A 21,015-nucleotide genomic window follows, 5' to 3' on the forward strand; every position below is an offset into this window, starting at 1 on the left:
CATGGAGGGTGTTGATAATAGTTTTCTTCTTGTGTGTTTTCCTTTGATGTTTGGTGAGGGCTGACCTCTGGCTGAAGGTTTTTCTACATTCATTACATTCATAGGGTTTTTCCCCTGTGTGAATTCGCTCATGTTTTGTGAGGGCTGACTTTTCATAGAAGGTTTTCCCACACTCAGGACATCTGTAGGATTTTTCTCCTGAGTTCTCTGATGCACGACAAGGTTGGATTTCACATAGAAAGATCTCCAGCACTCATTACATTTATAGGGTTTCTCACCGTGTGTGAGTCCTTCAATGTTGAGTAAGGTTTGATTTCACACAGAAGGTTTTCTCACATTCATTGCATTTATATAGTTTCTCTCCCATGTGAGTTCTCCGATGTACTGTGAGGGCTGATTTCTGGCAGAAGGACTTTCCACGTTCATTACATTCATATGGTTTTTCTCCTGTGTGAGTTCTCTGATGTTCAGCGTAGTTGGACTTCACAAAGAAGGATTTTTCACATTCATTACATTCATAGGGTTTTCTTCCGTGTGTGTGTGCTCTGATGCTATCTGAGATCTGTTTTCTTACAGAAGCTTTCTCCACATTTATTGCAGTCATAGGTTTTCTCTTTTTTTGTGAGCTCTCTGGCTTTGTGTAAGTTGTGACTTCCTACTTGAGGCACCCCACTTTCATTACGCCCATTATTTTTTTTCCCCAAGTGCCTTCTCTGATGTTGAGTGTGTTTCAACTTCTCAAAGAAAGGTTTCTCACATTTATTACCTTTACAGTTTTTCTCTCTTGTTTTAATCTTGTTTTAATTCTCTGATTGGGAGTGAGGCAAGATTCCTTCAAGACTCTTTCACTATCATTACACTTGCTGGGTTTTCCTGTTGTGTGGGTTCTCTGATGTTGAGTAAGGCATGCTTTTTCATGAAAGAATTTCCCACATTTCTTACAATCATAGACTTTCTCTCCTGCATGAGTTCTCTCATTTTGAGTATGGTATAACTTCTTCAAGGCTTTCTCATTTTCTTTACACTCATCAGGTTTTTCTCCTGTGTACATTCTTTGATGTTGGGTAAAGTTTGATTTCTTGCTAAATTTTCCAAATTCATTACATTCATAGTGTTTCTCTCCTTCATAGTGTTGCCCGGGCAACACTGCGAGACTCCGTCTCAAAAAAAAAATACTGACAATACTTGTATAGTAGTTACTATATAACAGGACTTGTTCTAAGTACTTTGTATGTCTTCCTTCATTTAACCTTTAAAATAAAGCCAAGCATAGCTACTATTATGACTTCCATTTCATAGAATAGGAAAGCGAGGGGAAGACTGAGCAATGTGGTGGAGCTGGGCTTTGAACCCGGGCAATCCGGCCCCAGATCCATTCACTTGAGCACTGTGTTAATATTTTTCACTTTTAAAATGAGGCACAATTACATAACCGCTGAAAAGCTTCCCCGTACTCCTATAAAGTCAAGAGTAGGTAGTGGGTAGCATGTCCCTAAATTCCAGATGTGGAGATGGGTGGGGTTTGAGGGCTCTGCAGAAATCTAGGAAGAGGGGTTGAAGAATTAGGGGCATGGGAGGAGTTTCCGAGAGGAGTGGTGATAGTATCTTCCCCGTCATGCGCACCAGGTACTCACCTGGGAGTTCCTCCTCCCCCGCAGCCGGCCTCCTGCCCACCATCCTCAGTCCAGCTCGCCATCCTCAGCCCAGCTCACCTCTGTCCTGTGACAGCTGGCCCACACCTTCGTTGACCGACGGTTCTTGGCAACCTCCGACATGATGAGTTATTCAGGGCGGAAGAATCGGGAATTGCTTCAAGAGCAAGCGCTTACAGACTTGCCTGTTTTCCCAGACGTCCTTGGTGCAGCTGTGTGCGTTTTATCAGAGGGTGGGAACCTCCCAGGCGAGATTCCTGCTTCTGGCGTCCCCTCCTCACAGGAGCAGGGTGACCCTGGCTGGGGAGAGAGGGAATAAATTCAGATAACTGGGACCTTCAGCCGGTTCCAACTCTCTCTTGGAGTTCACTATCTCCTACAACAGAGGCTTTCAGTGTGGACCCTGGACTGGCAGCATCAGCATCACCTGGGAACTAAATAGAAAGGCAAATCCTTGGGGCTCTCCCCAGACCTACTGAATCAGAAACGCTGGGTGTGGGGCCCAGTCGTGGGGTGGGGTTTAACAGGCCCTTCAGGTGATACGGATGCATGCGAGTTTGAAAACCACTGCCTGCAAATCTCCCTTGGGAACCTGAGAACTGTGGAGGGCACAAACAGATGGACCTTGAGTTTCCCAGAGGCCTCAGTTACACAGTACCCCCAGGGTTCTGCAGAGATACCAAGAAATCTCCAAGATCCTTAAGGGAAGGCTCAGTCCTTACACACTCCGGTTGGCCCATAGAGACATGCCACTCTGCTAAGTGCTGTGAAGCATGCGATTTGGAAATAAAACTGAGGCTTGCATCCCAGATCCTTCACTTGCTAGCCATGTGACTTCACCTCCAGAGTCTTGGTTTTCTTCTCAGTTAAAATAGGGTGGGTAACACCGACTTTACAGGGGGTCTTTGAGAATCAAATGACACACCGAGTGAAAAGAACAGTGGGAAAGGCAGGCCGCATTTCCAGAGTGCTTAGAAAATGTCAGGACCTGTGCGGAGTGCTTTAGAGGTGCTCTCTTATTCAACACTCAGAACGACCCTGAAGCAGGTTTTAGAAATAACTTCATTTTACAGATGGGGAAATTGAGTCTTAGAGTTTAGGTTCATCACTGTGTTCATGGAGAGCCAGTGACAGACCTAGGATGTGAACTCGTCTTACTTTCAAACTCAGGCTCTGCATCTGCAATAAGGCTTGCTAAGGTAGGAATGATAGTACAGCATAAAGTAAACTTTGTAAGAATTGTTCTCATCCCCGCTGGAGTAGTGGGTTTGACCAGCTGATGAATGGTTGCCCAGGGCACCTGCGAGTTAGAGGAGCTTCTGGAAACAGCTCTTTTAACATGTGAATGCCTTTTCCCGGAGCCCTTTATTCTGATCAGGAAACCTGTTCCCTCCGCCCTTATCTTCTTCGTGGCACCTGCAGATCCGCAGCGGACCTCCTCCTCCGTCACTTGCTTTCTAGACGGACAGATGCAGGGCAGACTCGGGAACAAGTGCCAGAGGGTCTCAACCCGCGTGGGATTTGCGCAAGTTTTTGCTTCCACAGGCTGTGAACACAAACCTACCCCAAGCCCCGCAAAGCAACCCTCCAAGCTAGGCTCTCACCTGCGGAGCGCATCGTTAGTGCAGCACCTGGTCGCTGAGTTACGCGTAGACGCGGAGGCTCCACGCTGATCAGAGACAGGAGTAAGGAACAAGGAGGAAGTCTGCACATGCGCAGACGGGGCTGCCAAAGACCGGTTCCCGGGGCCCTGCCGGGGCGATCCATCAACTTCCAGACTCCGTTTCCCACAAGTCTCCGCGCCCCCTTCCTTAAGGAACGTCTGAAGAGTTTCTGGCTTACTTGGCAAGTTGGGGGATTTGTGGTCCAAAGTCATCTTTACTTTTATTTGGAGCCCTAGTTCCTCATAACCCACCAGGTAGGAGATTTGCATGCACTCCACTTACAATCAGTGTCACTTCAGAGGCAAAGCTACCGTGAGAAGGAAAGGAGTTTGTCAACTGCACATCTGAAAACAAAATTAATGAAAGCCAAGCAACATAGTGGAATATTTATAGAAAATAAAGCAAAGCAATAAGTAAAAGATTAATAACCACGACCAGAAAGCTTTTTCCGCAGAATGCAAATATTACCTCCACCTGAAACTGGATTTCAAAAGTAAAAGCCTCACATAATGGCAAATACACATAAATCAAAGGAAAATTTCATCTAAGAAGCACACTCAGAATCTCCCCTTCCAGAGATGACCATGGCCAATGTTAGATGATATTGAAATGGGACCCCAAAATCTCAATGAGTGATTTGGGTCTTTTCATTGAACATGTTGTTAATAATTTTCTTACCCTTTTACACTTTTTATTTTGAAATATTTTAAACTTACAGAAAAGTTTCAGGGATGATTCATTCGGATCATCTGTAAACCATTTACTCAGATTCATCAACAGCAAATATCTGCCTCCCCACCTTCTGTTTCTCTCCTCATCCTCATCACCATTTGAGGGTAAGTTACAAATATGAACTGTCACCCCTAAAACTTTAGCATATATCACCTAGAACAAGGGCTTTTTAAAAACATAACCACAATTATCAAAAATTTTTAAACATAACTACAATTATCAAAATTGTTTAAACATAACCACAATTATCAAATCCAAGAACTTAAACAGATATAATATTATTATCTAAAATCTAGACCATATTCAAATTTTACTAATTGTTCTAATAATATCCTTTATAATTTTTTTTCTGATCCGGGGTTCAATTGAGGATCATTTTTACGCAGAGTTGCCATATCATTTAGACCACTTTAATCTAGTTCCTTGGCCTTTCTCTGTCTTTCAAGACATTGTTAATTTTGAAGAGGACGCATCAGTTTTTTTGAAGAATGTTCCTTTATTTGGGTTTGTCTGAGTGTTTCCTGATAATTTGATTCAGGTTATACATTTCTTGGCAGGAATCCTATATAAGGAATATTGTGTTCTTCTTGGTATATCATGCTAGGTCAGTGGGATGATGTCAGTTTATCCCATTTTTGGTAAAAAAAAAATTTCGCACAAGTCTCCTTTATTAATCTACCCTTTTGGTAACAATTCCTTGATCACAAATCTAGCACAGGTAGCCAAAAGATATAAAGTACCACAGACTTTGTATTGACTCAAGTTGGATGATGACTTTTACACTAAAATTAACACATACTGAAGAGATAAAAAGTTCTCAAAGTTTACACACGTATAGGAATACAAACTGAATACAGTTTTTAAATAAAAGATGATTACTTTTCAAATTATTTAAAGGGAAGCCTACTTTCAAACACCCTAGGAACAAGCCACTCAACACTACGTAAACTCAGAAGAGCTCTGAAAGAGTATTTTTCCACCAGCAAACCAAAACACACACCAATTGGCAGTAGACAGAGGCAGGTCTTCTGACTAAGAAATGGATATTATACAAATGTATATTTACAGCATAATTTTACTTCATGTGAATAACTGCTAAAGCATGACACCAGGCCGGGTGCTGTGGCTCACGCCTGTAATCCCAGCACTTTGGGAGGTCGAGGCGGGCTGATCACGAGGTCAGGAGATTGAGACCATCCCGGCTAACACGGAGAAACCCCGTCTCTACTAAAAATACAAAAAATTAGCTGGGCTTGGTGGCAGGTGCCTGTAGTCCCCACTACTGGGGAGGCTGAGGCAGGAGAATGGCATGAACCCAGGAGGCGGATCTTGCAGTGAGCCGAGATCACGCCACTGCACTCTAGCCTGGGCCACAGAGCTAGACTCCGTCTCAAAAAAAAAAAAGCATGACACCATATGAAGTAATGGTAAATAATTAAAAGCTTATTTAATGAATAACATAATAAATTGAAACTAAGAAATGCAAAACTAAAATGGTAATAGAAAAATAAAGAATTTAATAAAACACTGTTAGAAGAATTACAAAATACTCTTCTGAATACCTGCTATGAAATTATCTATACCCATGAAGAATAGGCATTTTCCAATATTAAATTGGTGCATTGTGGTCATACTCCATAAAGATACTGAAAAGCATCATCCGTAAAAATTTTTTTTGTTTTACCTGGGAAATGTACTTCTTACAAAAGGGCGGCTGCAAAATACAGAGACTTTGGCAACTGTTAGTCCAAACTGCACCATTTTGTAAGCCCCGTGCCATTTCGCAGACCTTGGTCAAAGTGAAACACTCCACGGGGGTTCGGGTCATGAGAAATATTCCTATCATACCCTGCCGGGCAAGGGCCCAACTGAAGAGACATCCCTATCATACCCTGCTGAACAAAGGTCCAAGGAACATCTTATCACATCCCACTGGAAAAAGGGCCAAACTGCTTGACCACAGGTACATCTTATCAATATCCTGCCAGGCAGTAAGCCAGATGGCCCAGACCCCTCCTGCCCATACCTATAAGTACCCCAGCCTGTAAGTGGTGGTAGACTCTGGCTTTAAGCTGATCCCCCAACTCTGCAGGTTTTTGCAATATGCCTGTGTTGCTGTTGAGCCCCACTCTCTCTGTGTGTCTTTCTTTAACCCTCACCTTCCCTTCAAAACCAAACAGCAACAATTACTTGTTTTTTTCTTAAAGTTAAAGAATGAGTGGGATCCAAGGAACAAAATGGTAGACCAGGAGCAGGTCCAAGTTATTTTCAGGAAACAGAGCAACAAAGCACAAAGGCAAAATTTCCAATAGAAATTCTTTTAATAACTTAGCTTGTCTCTGGGATTACCGTCTCCTCCCCTTTAGCAGAAAAGTGTGACTTATTACTGTAGGCCAATTACTCCACTACAGTAAACACCTTAGAATGTAGTTTTGAATCACATCTGTCTACCTGAAAGATCAGAAGTGGAATTACGCAAATACCCACAAAAACAAACACAAAAAACTCAACAACAAAACACCTCGAATGGTGACAAAGGTTTTTCAAAAAGTGCCTGGACTAGAAAGCCTAGATTGTAAACAGTAAATACAATTCTGTATCCAAGCCCCAGTTTGTGTTAATATGTAGGATAACCAGATAGTTTTAACTCTATGGCTAACCCCATTTCTTTCTTTATATAGACAGGCAGAGCTAGCACTGCTATATTAACAACTACCAATATACTGCTTTGTCCTTTAAAATCTATCTGCCACAGAAGGCTTAAACCACTAAACCAAGTTTCTCTACTAAGGCTAAGAATACTGCATCTATGCAGGGATGAGAGGCTTATCACATACTCACACTCACACACACCAAGCTCTTGGGAGTCAACTTGCAACTCTGCATTGATTTTATGCCCCTCTATCTTTTATTTACATTCTTTCTCAATTTTCCTATCATTCAAAACATGGTAGGGCCGGGCACGGTGGCTCACGCTTGTAATCCCAGCACTTTGGGAGGTCAAGGTGGGAGGATCAGCTGAGGTCAGGAGTTCAAGACCAGCCTGGCCAACATGGCGAAACCCTGTCTCTACCAAAAATACAAAAATTAGCCAGGCATGGTGGTGCATGCCTGCAGTCCCAGCTACTTGGGAGGCTGAGGCAGGAGAATCGCTTGAACCTAGGAGGGGGAGGTTGCAGTGAGCCGAGATCGTGTGACTGTACTCCAGCCAGGGAGCCTGGGTGGCAGAGTGAGACTCCATCTAAAATAAACAAACAACAAACAAAACACACAGTAGAAATCTCAACACATTCACAACTGGTTCTGGTTACCCAGTAGTATTACTTGTGTACAATTAAGCAAGAGACCAAAACCACAGAGCAAGTTGGACAGGGTGGGAATTACAGGGTAGGGAACAGATATAAAAACACAGATGTGCAGATTTCAGCAGAAACGTCAAGGATCCACATCCTGTGTTGGAGCAGAAGGCTCTTTAGAAGCGCATATCCCTTCACCCATCACTCCTATCCTTGGACCCCAAAGCAGGGCCGCAGCTTTTACTTTCAAACCCAGGGTCCTCAAAATGAGCGTGCAAAGTCCATAAACACAATCTGGTTGAAAACAGATGACACAACACACCTACACGAACTGTCTGACTGTTAAATTCATGTTACAAAACACTAACTTCAGGATTTATTTTTGAAACTTTTTTCCACAGAGAAAATAACACACTCCTTGGGGAAAGGTCACAGATTGAGAAGACAGGCCCTAGGTAAAAATTATTAAGACAGCACCTGGAGTTGATAGGCCTGCCTAGGAGAGAAACATGGGCACTGTCACACCACCACAGGGGACTGCTGCTGTCTGAGGTCAGCAGGCCAGTTCACATGCCACGCAAGGTGGCTACTGAGCCAAGTCATAAAAATCTTCCAGATCATCATGGAACAAGTCCCACTCATTTTCAAAGTCTGTCAGTTCATCGTCCCCATCTGCCAAAAGCATAAGCAACATCTCACCCAGCTCAAAGGTGACAACCTCTTCTTCATTGTTGTCAAAGGGGTCATTGTTCTCTCTTTCCTCAATGAGCTCCGAGAAGTGGTTCCTTCACTGGGCCCAGTATCTGTTTGCCTGTCTCTGTGTATCCTTTCTATGGCCATCAGGGAATACCTGCTTGTAAAAACACATCCCCCAAGATGGGCAGCTCCCCTGTCCTTCATCAAAATCCCTGCACGCCTGGCTGCTCATTGCCTCCTTGACTTTCTGGATGAGTTTCTGCTTCTCTTCTTTCTCCCGCCTGGTACTCACTGGGAATGACAAAGTTAGATGTGATCCGGCATTCTGGGTAGGACACTATGATCTTGCTCTCAAATAGCTTAGTGCCCTTCCACTTGTGAATATACTTGAGACAGTAGGCGTGGCTGCAGCTGGAGAGGATCCCAAAGCCACGCTCACTGGGGCTGGCTTTCTCACAGACCACCTCCATGCAGATCCCACACATCGTATCCTTGCTGCACTGCACAGCAAATGAGAGCTCCGTTTCCTTCTCATGGGCCTCAGGACAAGATTTTTATATGCTGTGGTCTCTGGGCAGCATCCATTGGAGGTAGGACCTGCAGCTTACATGATCACATGACTCTCTGTGGAGATACACACAGTTCTACCCATTTCCATCTCTCCCACTGCAGCCTAGGGGCAAAGCAGCTTGTTATCACAGCTGTTTGCTCTTTCTCTGATTCTCCCTTGGTCACTGCAGAAAGGGGCAGTGTACGCTGCAGTAGAGTTGCCCAGGAACAAACTCAACAGCATCTACCCAGTCCTCTGAACCCACTCCTACAGTTGCAAAGTTTGAGTCTGACTCAGCTTCGCCTGTATTCATTTCCACAAGCGGTCCAACTATGAATGAGAGACTTAAGGAAGCAGCAAGGGATGATTTTGTAGTTAGATCTGTAGCAGTTGCTTGTTCGTTTCAGTGGCTTGCTGTGTTCACATCTGCAGCGGCCTCCATAAACACAGTACCGTCGCTGAAAATACTTGCCCACTACGCCATGTGGACTGTCAGAGAGGGAATGCAAGTAGCGACAGTTATGTCCTTCCTTACAAATCCCATGCACAAAATACCAGCAGGTGACCTGTTTAGTTCAGCTGTTGCTGCAGCTACTGCCACTCCTTCTTCCCGTCCCCAGGGATGGGGGTGGTGACTGTGGGATGGGGTGGGATAGCTGCTGCTGCAGGTCCTGCTCCTGATATTGTGGCTGTTGTTCTGGGAGCTGCAGCCTCCACTGTTACTGTTTATCCCACATACCCATTTTTGGTAAAATTAACTGATCCCATGGTTAAGATGATATGTAGGCCAATATACTTTTATATCAATTGTTTCTTTTCTGCCGATGATGATATGATAATAATAACTTTAAAACAGTAAGCTCCAGCCAGCACGGTGGCTCAGGCCTGTAATCCCAGTGCTTTGGGAAGCCAAGGCAGCAGGATCACTTGAGACCAGGAGTTTGAGACCATCCTGGGCAACATAATATAACCCCATCTCTAAAAAACCAAAACAAACAAACAAACAAAAAACACTAGAAAAAATTAGCTGGGCATGGTGGTGCACACCTGTAGTCCCAGCTACTTGGGAAGCTGAGGTAGGAGGATCACGTGAGTCTGAGTGGTCAAGGCTGTAGTGAGCTATGATCGTGCCACTGCACTCCAGCCTGTCCCAGCACTTTGGGAGGCTGAGGTGGGTGGATCATGAGGTCAGGAGATTGAGAACATCCTGGCTAACACGGTGAAACCCCGTCTCCACTAAAATACAAAAGAAATTAGCCGGGCGTGGTGGCGAGCGCCTGTAGTCCCAGCTACTCAGGAACCTGAGGCGGGAGAATGGCATGTATCCAGGAGGTGGAGCTTGCAGTGAGCCAAGATCGTGCCACTTACTCCAGCCTGAGCGACAGAGCGAAACTCCGTCTAAAAAAAAAAAAATTAGAATATGAAAAAGATGGAATTTCTGGGGAAGAGGGGGAATTCATGTTAGGAAACTAGAGGTGTTGATGGGAGAGAGGAAGATTATCCGTCTAGCACATATACCCTATAAATTTCATGTAGACTTTTGGCTCAACATTTTTAACAGTAAACCAATAGGAATATAGAGATAATATAAAAAAATTTTCTTATCTAATCTCTAGGTAAGAATACCAAGCCATCAAAGGCAGTGGCCACAAAAGAAATGACTGCCAAATTTTACTCTAAACAAATTTAAAATCTTGCTTTTAGATAAAAACAAGTAAAAACACACTTAGAAAATACATTTGTTAAGTATATGAAACGGTTTGTTGACTTCATTTAATTATCTCTTACACATTTATAAGAAGATTACACTACCATAAAAATGATCTATGAATATGAAGGGTAGGTAATAAAAGGGAAATGCAAATGAAGAATAAATATGTGAAAACAGCCCATAAATTACAAATTAAAAATGCAAATGTTTATTTATTTATTTATTTATTTTATTTTTTGAGACAGAGTCTCGCTCCGTTGCCCAGACTTGAGTGCAGTTGCTCCATCTAAGCTCATTACAACCTCTGCCTCCTGGGTTCATGCAATTCTCCTGCCTCAGCCTCCCGAGTAGCTGAGATTACAGGTACGCACCATCGCACCTGGCTAATTTTTGTATTTTTAGTAGAAACGGGGTTTTGCCATTTTGGCCAAGCTGGTCTTGAACTCCTGACTTCAGGTGATCTGTCCACCTCAGCCTCCCAAAGTGCTGGGATTACAGGCATGAGCCACTACAACTGGCCAAAAATGTAAATGTTTAAATACACTTTTTGGCCTTTATATAAAGTTGGCAGATTATAAAGAAAAATGATATCTAGGATGGGTATCAGTTTGGGAAAATGTTAATTCTCATAACTTTTTTGAATATAATTTCTAAAACAAATCATGTTTGTTGGAGGCCACTCCACACCAAGATTTAAAATGAGCATGCACTTTAATAGACTAATTCTATTTCTATTAATGTGACCTAAGGAAATAGTTGTCCAAAATATGTGTGTAGGTATATTTCTCACAGTTCATGTTAACAGCAATACACTGTAAAAAATCTAAATGTGAAAAAAGGATAAAATAACTTGTAGGAATCTATAAGGTGAGATGTTAGGTACCCATTAAAAATTATAATGCAGGTGTCTTCCTGCTGGCAAGAATATAAAAGAAAAAATATACAATGTAGGGATATTCTAAATGATATGGCTGGAGTTTACAATATTTTTAAATAAAATGCACTTTCCACACAAAAATAAGGCATTTTTTGGGAAAAATAACGCATATTTCCTAAGGGTTTAAAATATATGTAAATACCAAATACAGGGAAAAAAATTGAACCAAAAGAAAAATTAAAAATCTGCTTCACCCTCACACGTAACAATAGTACAGTCTATGCCAGGATTTTGTTTACAAAAGGCCTAGGAAAATTCAAAACCTGTGTCATTCAACACTAATATCCCCCTAGGAGTAGACATGGAATGGAGAGGAGGCATTCTCAGGGGCATAGATTTACATCCTTTGTGGAATATATGTACGCTAATGCTGCCTTTTTAATTTTCTCAGCTTTAGCTCTGATGTTGTATTGAGTCTTCTCCACTAAATTAACTGCACAGTGCATTGTGGTGTTTGTCTAAGCGTTTTTGTAGTATCTTATAACATCTAATTTCCACTTCAAAGTAATTGATCTTCATGAATTTTTTTAAAACCCTCTAAAAGCTCTACTATTTAATGAATATTTGGATGAGACTGGTGTAGTAATTAAAATACTTAACATTTTAATAAAAGCAAATGTTAGCGATCCACGTTACATAATCATTTAGAATATTCTAAAGCATTAGTAACAATGTGTTCATCACAGGACACTAGTAGTCATGGATTTGATTGTTAAATGGGTCTATTTTAGTTTTTAATGCTAAAGTGATATGGCCAAGTGTTACTGACATAACCAAAGAACAATTAGTGTTCTTTACTGCTTATAAGTGATATGACTCCTCACAAATTTTGGAAACTTTGGGAGATCTGTATGATATTGAAATTTGTACCTAATATTGATGTAGGGCAGGCAAGCCCCCAGATTAGGGCTTAGCCTGGGACAGTTTTTGGTGACCTGGTGGTGTTGGACAGTAACTTTTACTGAGGCGGCGGTGCACGACAGCAGCAGAAATACTGCTTGTAGAGTGGGGCTCCCCGATAGGTGGTGTGTCCAGAGTAGCAGCTCAGGGACACTTCCGCAGTTGTGTTTACACCCACATTTTTTTTTTTTTTGAGACGGAGTCTCGCTCTGTCGCCCAGGCTGGAGTGCAATGGTGCAACCTCGGCTCACTGCAACCTCAACCCCCAGGTTCAAGTGATTCTCCCACCTCAGCCTCCTGAGTAGCTGAGATTACAGGCACCCGCCATCATGACTGGCTAATTTTTTTTTTTTTTTGGTATTTTTGTAGAGACAGGGTTTCACCATGTTGACCAGGCTGGTCTTGAACTCCTGACCTCAGGTGATTCACCCGCCTCAGCCTCCGTAAGTGTTGGGATTACGGGCGTGAGCTACACCCCCGGGCCTATACCCACTTTTAAATATATGCAAATTAACAGGCAGATTATGCAGAGATATTTAGAAAAAGGGTGGTAATCTCCAGGTTGTCAGGCTGTTGCCATGGAAAGAGGCTGTAACTTCCAGTGTTGCCATGGCAACGGTAAACTGACATGGCACTCACGGGTGGGCATGTCTTATGGAGAGGGGCTTTTGCTTCTTCCCTGTTTTAGCTAGTCTTTAACATGGTCTGCAGTCTGACCTGCCTCTGGAGTCGAATCTCACCTCCTACCTCAATATGAGACATAATTACTAATATGATCATTCTTTGGTATCATTTCAAATTTGTATAATTGAAATTCCTGTACTATAGGTGGCACTGTACTAGGTATTTTCTATAGTTTCATTTGAAATGTATAGATGTAAATACTTGGAAAGAAAGTCAAGAACAATACACGCTGACCTGATGACAGTACTGATTTCTCTAGAGAAGATCAACTTAAATGGGACTTATTGCTAATATTTTACTTTTTTTATCAACAAAAACATGTACTCATTTTATTTGATATATAATTAAAAACTGACCATGTGAAAATAATGGTATCAGTAGACAACACTATACCTGTAATAAGAAAAACCCAGAATCATAATTGAAAACTATCCCCCAAACTGGGAGGGAGCCAAGAGACCAAAAAGTGAGTTAGGCAAGTCCAGTTTGGCAAGTAGATGAGTTTATTAGGACTTACATATGAGGCACTCCCGGACGGTAGCAGGACACCTTTAGAGATCCACCCCGCCTCCCAGCCCTATGCTCCTTTTTTTTTTTTTTTTGAGACGGAGTCTCGCTCTGTCGCCCAGGCTGGAGTGCGGTGGAGTGATCTTGGCTCACTGCAAGCTCCGCCTCCCAGGTTCACGCCATTCTCCTGCCTCAGCCTCCTGAGTAGCTGAGACTACAGGTGCCCACCACCACACTGGGCTATTTTTTTTTTGTATTTTTTAGTAGAGACGGGGTTTCACCATGTTAGCCAGGATGGTCTCGATCTCCTGACCTCGTGATCCGCCCACTTCAGCCTCCCAAAGTGCTGGGATTACAGACGTGTGCCACTGCGCCTGGCCCCTAAGCTACTTTTAAGCAAATTTTCTGGCTCTTTGCCGACTGTGTGTGCAATGAGACTGTTTTCTTGTAGATTCTTAGATACCCTCTGGGATGCTTGGGTTCACAGGGACACCTGCTCCTTGGCTGGGCACCATGACCTTGGCTCATTGGCTCGCCTTCAGGGTTCAGGCAGCAGACATACACCCTTAAGCAAACTGATGGGGGACCCATCACACTACAGTACCACACTTGCTTAACCATATTATGAATGGGTTGGAGAATTCTAAGCTGTCTTTTCCCTTGGCTGGTGACTTCTCATATCTCATACTCACAATTGCTACCCTTAAAATAGGGACAAGATTCATCCCACTCAGGCTTTTGTATTTAAAATAGTAGAGCTCCCAGAGCTCCTAGGACAATACCCACCTAATAAAAAATAGGTGCTCCATAAAAGACAGTTAATTTTAACTTCTCTCATTTTACAGAGAAAGAAACTAGGGCCAAAGAGGGACAGTGAGTTTTTCAAGGCCCTACAATAATTTTTATGAGCTGAGGCTGAAGCCTAGGTCCCCTGGCTGGCTGCCAATTCCCTCCCACTAGGAGATCTCCCACCACCCCTTATTGGCTCCATCTTTCCTCCTCCTACTTTGCCTTCCACCCAAATGGCCCTTCAAGTGAAGCAAGCACTGATTCCAGGTCTTGGTTGTCTCCTTCCTTTGTGTGCTCCATTGAGGTGACCAAATTGCTAGTGATTTCAGCTGAAGGAAACTACCCTGAGATGTGAGGCTTTCTGTGGGAGAGGCAGGAGGGATGCCTTATGGCCAATGGAGTCTAGAACACAATCTCAAGGTATACTGCAGGTGGGAATCACTGTAGCCATTTTATCAGAGAGGAACGCGAGGGACAGAGTGGGTTGAGACAGGTCCAAAGATAAACACTATATTTTTATGCTAATTATATTCTATCTCTTCTTTACACTTTAACCACCCAAGCATGCATTCATAAACACTCCATTTTACGCATCTGTAAACACTCTATTTTAGCTTTGCCTGTTACTTGAAGTCCAGATAAATGGAAAAACACTTTATAAGTTCCCTTGTGTCTATGTTTGTGACATTTGTTCATGCTATCATGTTTAGCATGTTATTTTTATTACTGTACAATATTTCAGTATATGAGTACACTGCCATATAATTATCCATTCTACTTCTAATGGATGTTTGAATTTTTCCAGTTTATAGACATTATAGTGCTGCTATGAACATTCTTGTACACAAATTCTGGTGAACAAAAGCATGAATTTCCATAAGATATTACCTAAGACTGTAATTGCTAAGTTATAGGGTACAGATATCTTCAATTTTAGTAGATAATGCTAAAATATTTTCTTTCTGGAAATTGTAAAAATACACTCTTCACCAACAATGTGTGTGATTCCAGTTGTTCCACATTCTTGCCAAAACTTGGTATTGTCAATCATTTTAGTTTTAGCCAATCCTTTTAATTTTAGGTGGTTGTGTGGTACTATGTCATTTTGGGATTCGATTTCTCATAATTACTGATGAGGCTGAGCACCTTTTCTATACCTATTGTCCATTTTGATATTGGGTGTGTGTGACGTGCCTGTTCAAGTATTTTGCCCATTTTTAAAATTGGGTTGTCTGCTATCAATTCAAAAAGGTTTTGTGTATATACAGTATAAGAATACTGTGTCAGGTATATTTATTACCAATACCTTCTTCCATTCTTTGGCTTGCCTCTTTCACTCTTTTAATGGTGTCTTTTGAGGAACAGGAGTTCTTAATTTTAATGTAGTCAAATTTATCAATCTTTTCCTTTCTGGTTAATGTGGTTTTGTCCTATTTAAGACACCTTTTCCTACTTCAAATTCATGAAAATATTGTCCTATTATATCACCTAATGCTTTGTTTTACTTTTCACAATTAGAGATAAATTCACATGGGATTTATTTAAGTATACGGTGAAAGGTAGATTTCTTTCTTTCTCATATAATTTCCCACATGACTCAACACCATCTATTGAAAAGATCATTCCTTCCCCACTGCTCTGCAGTATGGCTTTTTTCATAAGCTATATAGGTTTATTTCTGGGTTCTATATTTTGTTTCTTTCCTTTAATTATCTGTTCTTATGCCAACACCATACTTAATTACTGTAATTTTAAAATAAGTCTTAATATCTGGTAGTATAAGTCTCTTAACTTTGTTCTTCAAGATTGGCTGGGCTATTCTTGGCCATTTGCATTTCTAGGTACATTGTAATGTTAACATCAATTTCCACAAAAAAGCTTGCTAGGATTTTGACAGGGATTGCATTGAATTTATCAATTAACTTGTCAAATCTTGACATCTTTACAATATTTAGTTTTCTAATTCATGGACATAGTAATCACTACATTTATTTAGGTCTTCAGTTTTCCTAAGCCCTCCAAGTGTCCACTCATGTCTTTCCAGCATAATAGCCAAAGTCCTCACTTTGACTTATGAGGCCCTAAATGATCTGTTTCCTGTTAACTCTTTTGACTTTCTCCCCTGCTACTCCACCCCTTGCGGAATATAGTCCAGCTATGGTGGCCTCCTTGCTGTTCTAGACCCTGAGGAGACAGCAGTGAACATATGCAAAAAGCTCTCCCCTTATAAAGTTCCCCATTCTAATGAGGAAACAGATAATAAACCATATCAATAAATAAAATACATAGTAAGTTAAATGGTGATGTGTAGTAGAGAAAAACATATACAGTAGGGAGAAGAAATATGAAATGGCAGGAGGTTAACATTTTAGACTGAGTGGCCAAGGAAGGCCTGAGAAGATAGCTTTTAAGTCGATATTTTAAGAAAGCCAGAAAAATAGCCATGTGGATTCCAGGAGGAAGGGTCTCCCAGGCAGAGAAATCACAAAGTGTAAAAACTCTAGGACGGCCTAAATAGCTCCTTGTGTTCAAGGATTGGTAAGAAGGCTACTGAAGCTGAAAAAGAAGAGGGATAAAGGGTTAACAGGAGAATAGGTCAGGTAGGTAGGGTCTCATAAGGAAGAGTGAAGATTTAGGCTTTTAATCTGGGTCATGTGGGGGCCACCAGAATACTTGAGAGCAGTGAGTGGCTCTGTCTTAAGGGCAGGGATTGCCCTGACTGCACGGGGGCAAGGGTAGAAGCAGGAATCCAGATGAGAGACGACGGTGGCTTGGACCAGAGTTGTGTCAGTGAAATCATGGGAAGAGGTCAAATTCTTAATATATTTGGCAGGTAATCTGACAGGATTTGTTGATTACTAGATGTGGATATATTAGAAACAGAGAAGTCGGGGTTGACACCTCAGCCAAAGCAACTGATTTAATTCTTTTGGTAGTTGTAGACCTATTCATATTTTCTATCTCTTTCTGCATCAGTTAGTCAATTTTAGTACCTTTTATTTTCTAAAAGTTTATTTATTTGGTCCACTTTTATTGGCATAAATTGTTCATCCCTCTCTTTTATAACATTTTAAATGTATGCATCATTTGTAAATCTTATTTTTATTTGAAAAGATTCATTTCTTCTGTTTATCAGGCTACCCTCGTATTCCAATATTCATTATTTGTACCTTTTCTGTTCTAAGTAAGTTTCATTAGTGTTAATTTTATTAGTCTTTTTAATAACTGAATTTTGACTTTGTTGCTTCCTTGCATTGTATGGTTTCTATTTCAGATTGCTATTTGGTATTTCTTTGTTTATACTTTGTTTTGCTGTTCCAACATCTTGAGATAAGTGCTTCATTATTAATTTTTTCTTGTATTCTTTTCAGTTGTATGCATGTAAGATGATAAACTTCTCCTTAAGAACTGCTCTAACTATACCTTGATAGACAGTTCTTTCTTATGATTCAGTTCAAACTATCCTTTTATTTCCTTCAGTTTGATAACAATCCCATTCAAGATCATTTATTCTTCATCCCCTCCTGTCCTCACTTTCCCAGATTTCAATCATGCATTTAAAAATGGAGAACATATTATCTAAATACAGACTCCTAGCTGCTAAGGATTTATTCATCAATGAACAAGATAGACAAATCCTGCTCCCTCATGGAGTGTACATTCTAGTGAGGAAGACAAACCAGTTACAAATGTACAGGGTGGCTATAAAGTTGGGAAACATGAGTAAATATTTACTTTATGTGAGCATGTTTTATAATCAATTAATACCTGCACTTGACAGGGTAGGGGAAGGTCACCCAAAGTGAGATTGTACGTGATTGTATATTGGGATTGTATGTGACCCCATTATGCCAGAATGCAGAGGGACTGGTTTGATGATTAATTTTCAAAGATGGATTGGGTGATATGGCCACGTGGAATTGGCTGTGCACTCTCCAGATCTTAAGCTCATCAATTACTTCTTCTGAGGGATGCTAAATGCACTGGTGAGTCTTGTGAAAATCAGAGTCAAGGCCGGGCGCTGTGGCTCACGCCTGTAATCCCAGCACTTTGGGAGGCTGAGGTGGGTGGATCACGAGGTCAGGAATTCGAGACCAGCCTGGCTGACATGGCGAAACCCCGTCTCTACTAAAAATACAAAAATTAGCTGAGTGTGGTGGCATGTGCCTGTAATCCCAGCTACTTGGGAGGCTGAGGCAGGAGAATCACTTGAACCCGGGAGGTGGGAGGTGGAGGTTGCAGTGAGCCAAGACCATGCCACTGCATTCCAGCTGGGGCAACAGAGTGAGACCGTATCTCAAAAAAAAAAAAAAAATGGAAATCAGAGTCAAAGCACACTGAACCACACATTGCTAACTAGGGAGAAGAATTTGAATATATTGTAACATCAGTAAACAATTATATATATGTATATACTCACCTATATCCAGAATGTATGGCCACCATGTAGACCGATGAGGAGTCAATAGCCAGAATAATCAGATCATGCTGATCCAAATCCACATCTGTAGGAGTTTAAAGTCTTATATAGAGGCCTACCACCTCTGCAAGATGCCTTGAAGTCTTTTTGCTCAAATTCTCCCTTTGCATGTTGGGGCTAAAGCAAATCTAGAACAAAGAATTATTGTTAAGACTAAGTGTAAAGTATGTGAAGTATAAAGAGCAAAATGCTAAACAGACAAAGTCTTCAATAGATACAATAATTGCATAATGTATTGCTCTTTGGGGGCAAATCAGGGTGCAAATAATTTCACCAATTGGCATAAGCTTCTATCACCTTGGTTAAATTAGGAGCTATGATAACCCCCATCAATAAATGGTAGTTTAGTGAGAGAGACAGAGAGAAGAGAAGAGGGGGTGAAGGGACAGAAAGGAACAGAAACAGAGGCACAGATAGATTATCAAAGTTGACAGGAGCTTCCAGTATCATCCAGTACTTATTCTCACCCTGTGATTTACATGCCCTAAGGAAACTGTGGGTCTATTCCAACAAGTAAAGGAAACCACAGGATTTACTTGGCATATCTCCTTGGAGGATAAATTGTACTTAATGTCACATAATAAAAGCCATTACTATTCTATGAAAAATATAAATATGGAGTAAATCACAAAATCATTCATTTTAAAAATAAAAACTAACCTTTTCAGCAAATGGTGCTGGAGCAATTGGGCATCCATAGACATAAAAAACCAAACCTTGACTTAAACCTCAAATTTTATACAAAAACGAACTCAAAATGAATCATGGACATAAATGTAAAACTATAAAACTTTTAGGAAAAAATAAAAATCTTTAGACTGGAAACAAAAACATGATCCATAAAAGAAGATATTTATAAATTAGACCTCATCAAAATTAAAAACTTTTGCTCTGTGAAAGACAAGTGAAGAGAATGAAATGACAAACTACAAAGTGGGAGAACGTATTTACAAACTACACATTTGACGAAGGGTTGGTATCTAATATATACAAAGACCTCTCGAAACTCAACAGCAAAAAAAGAAAAAAAAATCCAATTAGAAAGTGGGAAAAAGACATGAAAGGACATTTCAATGACAAGGATATACAGATGGAAAATAAGCACATGAAAAGTGTTCAACATCATTAGCCAGTAAGGAAATGCAAATTAAAACCACAGTGTGATATCACTACATGCCTATCAAAATGGCTAAAATAAAAAACAGTAACACCACTACATGCTGGCCAGGATGTGGTGAGACTGGATCACTCATACATTGCTGGTGGGAATGTAAAATGGTACAATCACTCTGGAAAATAGTTTGGCAGTTTCTTATGTGCAATTCCTCTACAACCTGGCAATTTTACTAATGGGCATTTATCCCAGAAAATAAAAACATATGTTAGCACAAGAACCTATACACTAATTTTCATAGTAGCTTCATTTGTAATAGCCCCAAACAGGAAGCAGCTCAGATGCCTTTTAAACAAATGGCATACATCCATACCACGGAATACTATTCAGCAATAACAAGAAGCAAATTATCAATACATATAGTGACTTGGATGAATCTCCAGGGAATTATGTTGATGATAAAAACCAATCCCAGAAGTTATATACTGCATGATAATATTTATATAACATTCTTGAAACGATAATATTTTAGAAATGGAGAAGAGATTAGTAGTTACCTGGGACAGGAGAGAGACTGGGGAGGCAGTGGGTGTGGTTATTGAAGAAGTTAATGTGGGTAACACCAGAGATCCTGGAGGTGATGACAGTGTTCTGTAACATGACAATGGTGGTGAATACTAGAACCTACATGTGATAAAACTGTATAGAATTAACACACACATACAAATGAAGTAAAGCTAAGGAAATATGAATAAGATCGGAGAATTTTATCAACCTCAATATCCTGGTTTTGATATTGTACTATCATTTTGCAAGATGTTACCATTAGGCAAAACTGGGTAAAGGGTATATGAGGGCTCTATTTTTTCTTGCAACTGCATGTCAACCTACAATTATCTCAATACAAATGTCAATTATACAAAATAGAAGTTAGATTTAATGTCTTTCTTTTTTATATGTGCAGTCTCAGGTTATACCTGCAGAACCATATACTTGTATTATGCTGCTGACAAAAAAGTGTGAAAGAACCCAATGCCTTCATTTTAAAGATGAGTCACATAAAGGTTAGGCGACTATCCAAGCTGATAAAGCTTGTTTATATTAAGCATTTATCATGGTTTCTGCCTTTCCATAAGTTATAATGATGGAGAATTTTATGGCAATGTTAAGACGTCCAGTCCTGGGTTCAGACAACTTTGGGATATATCCTATCAGGATTCAAACGGTCTCACCATGTGATCTTAGAAAAATAATGTTTGCATTTTCTACTCATTGAAATGAGATAATAAAATAATCCCATACA

The 21,015-nt window shown here is 40.8% G+C and overlaps 1 protein-coding gene and 2 pseudogenes across 3 annotated transcripts in view, besides 2 other annotated features; all 3 read right to left on the reverse strand.

The window, feature by feature from the left end:
• Nucleotides 1-530: 530 nt before the first annotated feature.
• On the reverse strand, nt 531-1,681 carry ZNF663P (zinc finger protein 663, pseudogene; annotated as a pseudogene). Its single transcript, NR_045983.1, has one exon. The product of NR_045983.1 is annotated as a zinc finger protein 663, pseudogene (transcript).
• Nucleotides 2,676-3,216: an enhancer, noted in NCBI's record as "H3K27ac-H3K4me1 hESC enhancer chr20:45087277-45087817 (GRCh37/hg19 assembly coordinates)". NCBI's record gives its function as "activates a minimal SCP1, AML or CMV promoter by ChIP-STARR-seq in naive H9 embryonic stem cells {active_cell/tissue: H9 hESC(naive)}" and the evidence as "EXISTENCE:reporter gene assay evidence [ECO:0000049][PMID:30033119]".
• Nucleotides 3,217-3,756: an enhancer, noted in NCBI's record as "H3K27ac-H3K4me1 hESC enhancer chr20:45087818-45088357 (GRCh37/hg19 assembly coordinates)". NCBI's record gives its function as "activates a minimal SCP1, AML or CMV promoter by ChIP-STARR-seq in naive and primed H9 embryonic stem cells {active_cell/tissue: H9 hESC(naive and primed)}" and the evidence as "EXISTENCE:reporter gene assay evidence [ECO:0000049][PMID:30033119]".
• The window catches only part of ZNF334 (zinc finger protein 334), a 51,247-nt gene continuing 36,582 nt past the window's right edge, over nt 6,351-21,015 (reverse strand). The window contains exons 9-11 of the transcript XR_007067464.1: nt 20,270-20,363; nt 18,539-18,726; nt 6,351-9,079 (exon numbers count right to left, since the gene is read on the reverse strand). The gene's annotated coding sequence lies outside the window, so the exon portion shown is untranslated. The remainder of the gene's footprint in view (nt 9,080-18,538; nt 18,727-20,269; nt 20,364-21,015) is intronic.
• On the reverse strand, nt 7,698-9,330 carry MKRN7P (makorin ring finger protein 7, pseudogene; annotated as a pseudogene). The gene has a single exon (NR_026640.1). The product of NR_026640.1 is annotated as a makorin ring finger protein 7, pseudogene (transcript).

The sequence above is a fragment of the Homo sapiens genome, chromosome 20, assembly GCF_000001405.40.
Source record: "Homo sapiens chromosome 20, GRCh38.p14 Primary Assembly".
NCBI classification, from domain to species: Eukaryota; Metazoa; Chordata; class Mammalia; order Primates; family Hominidae; genus Homo; species Homo sapiens.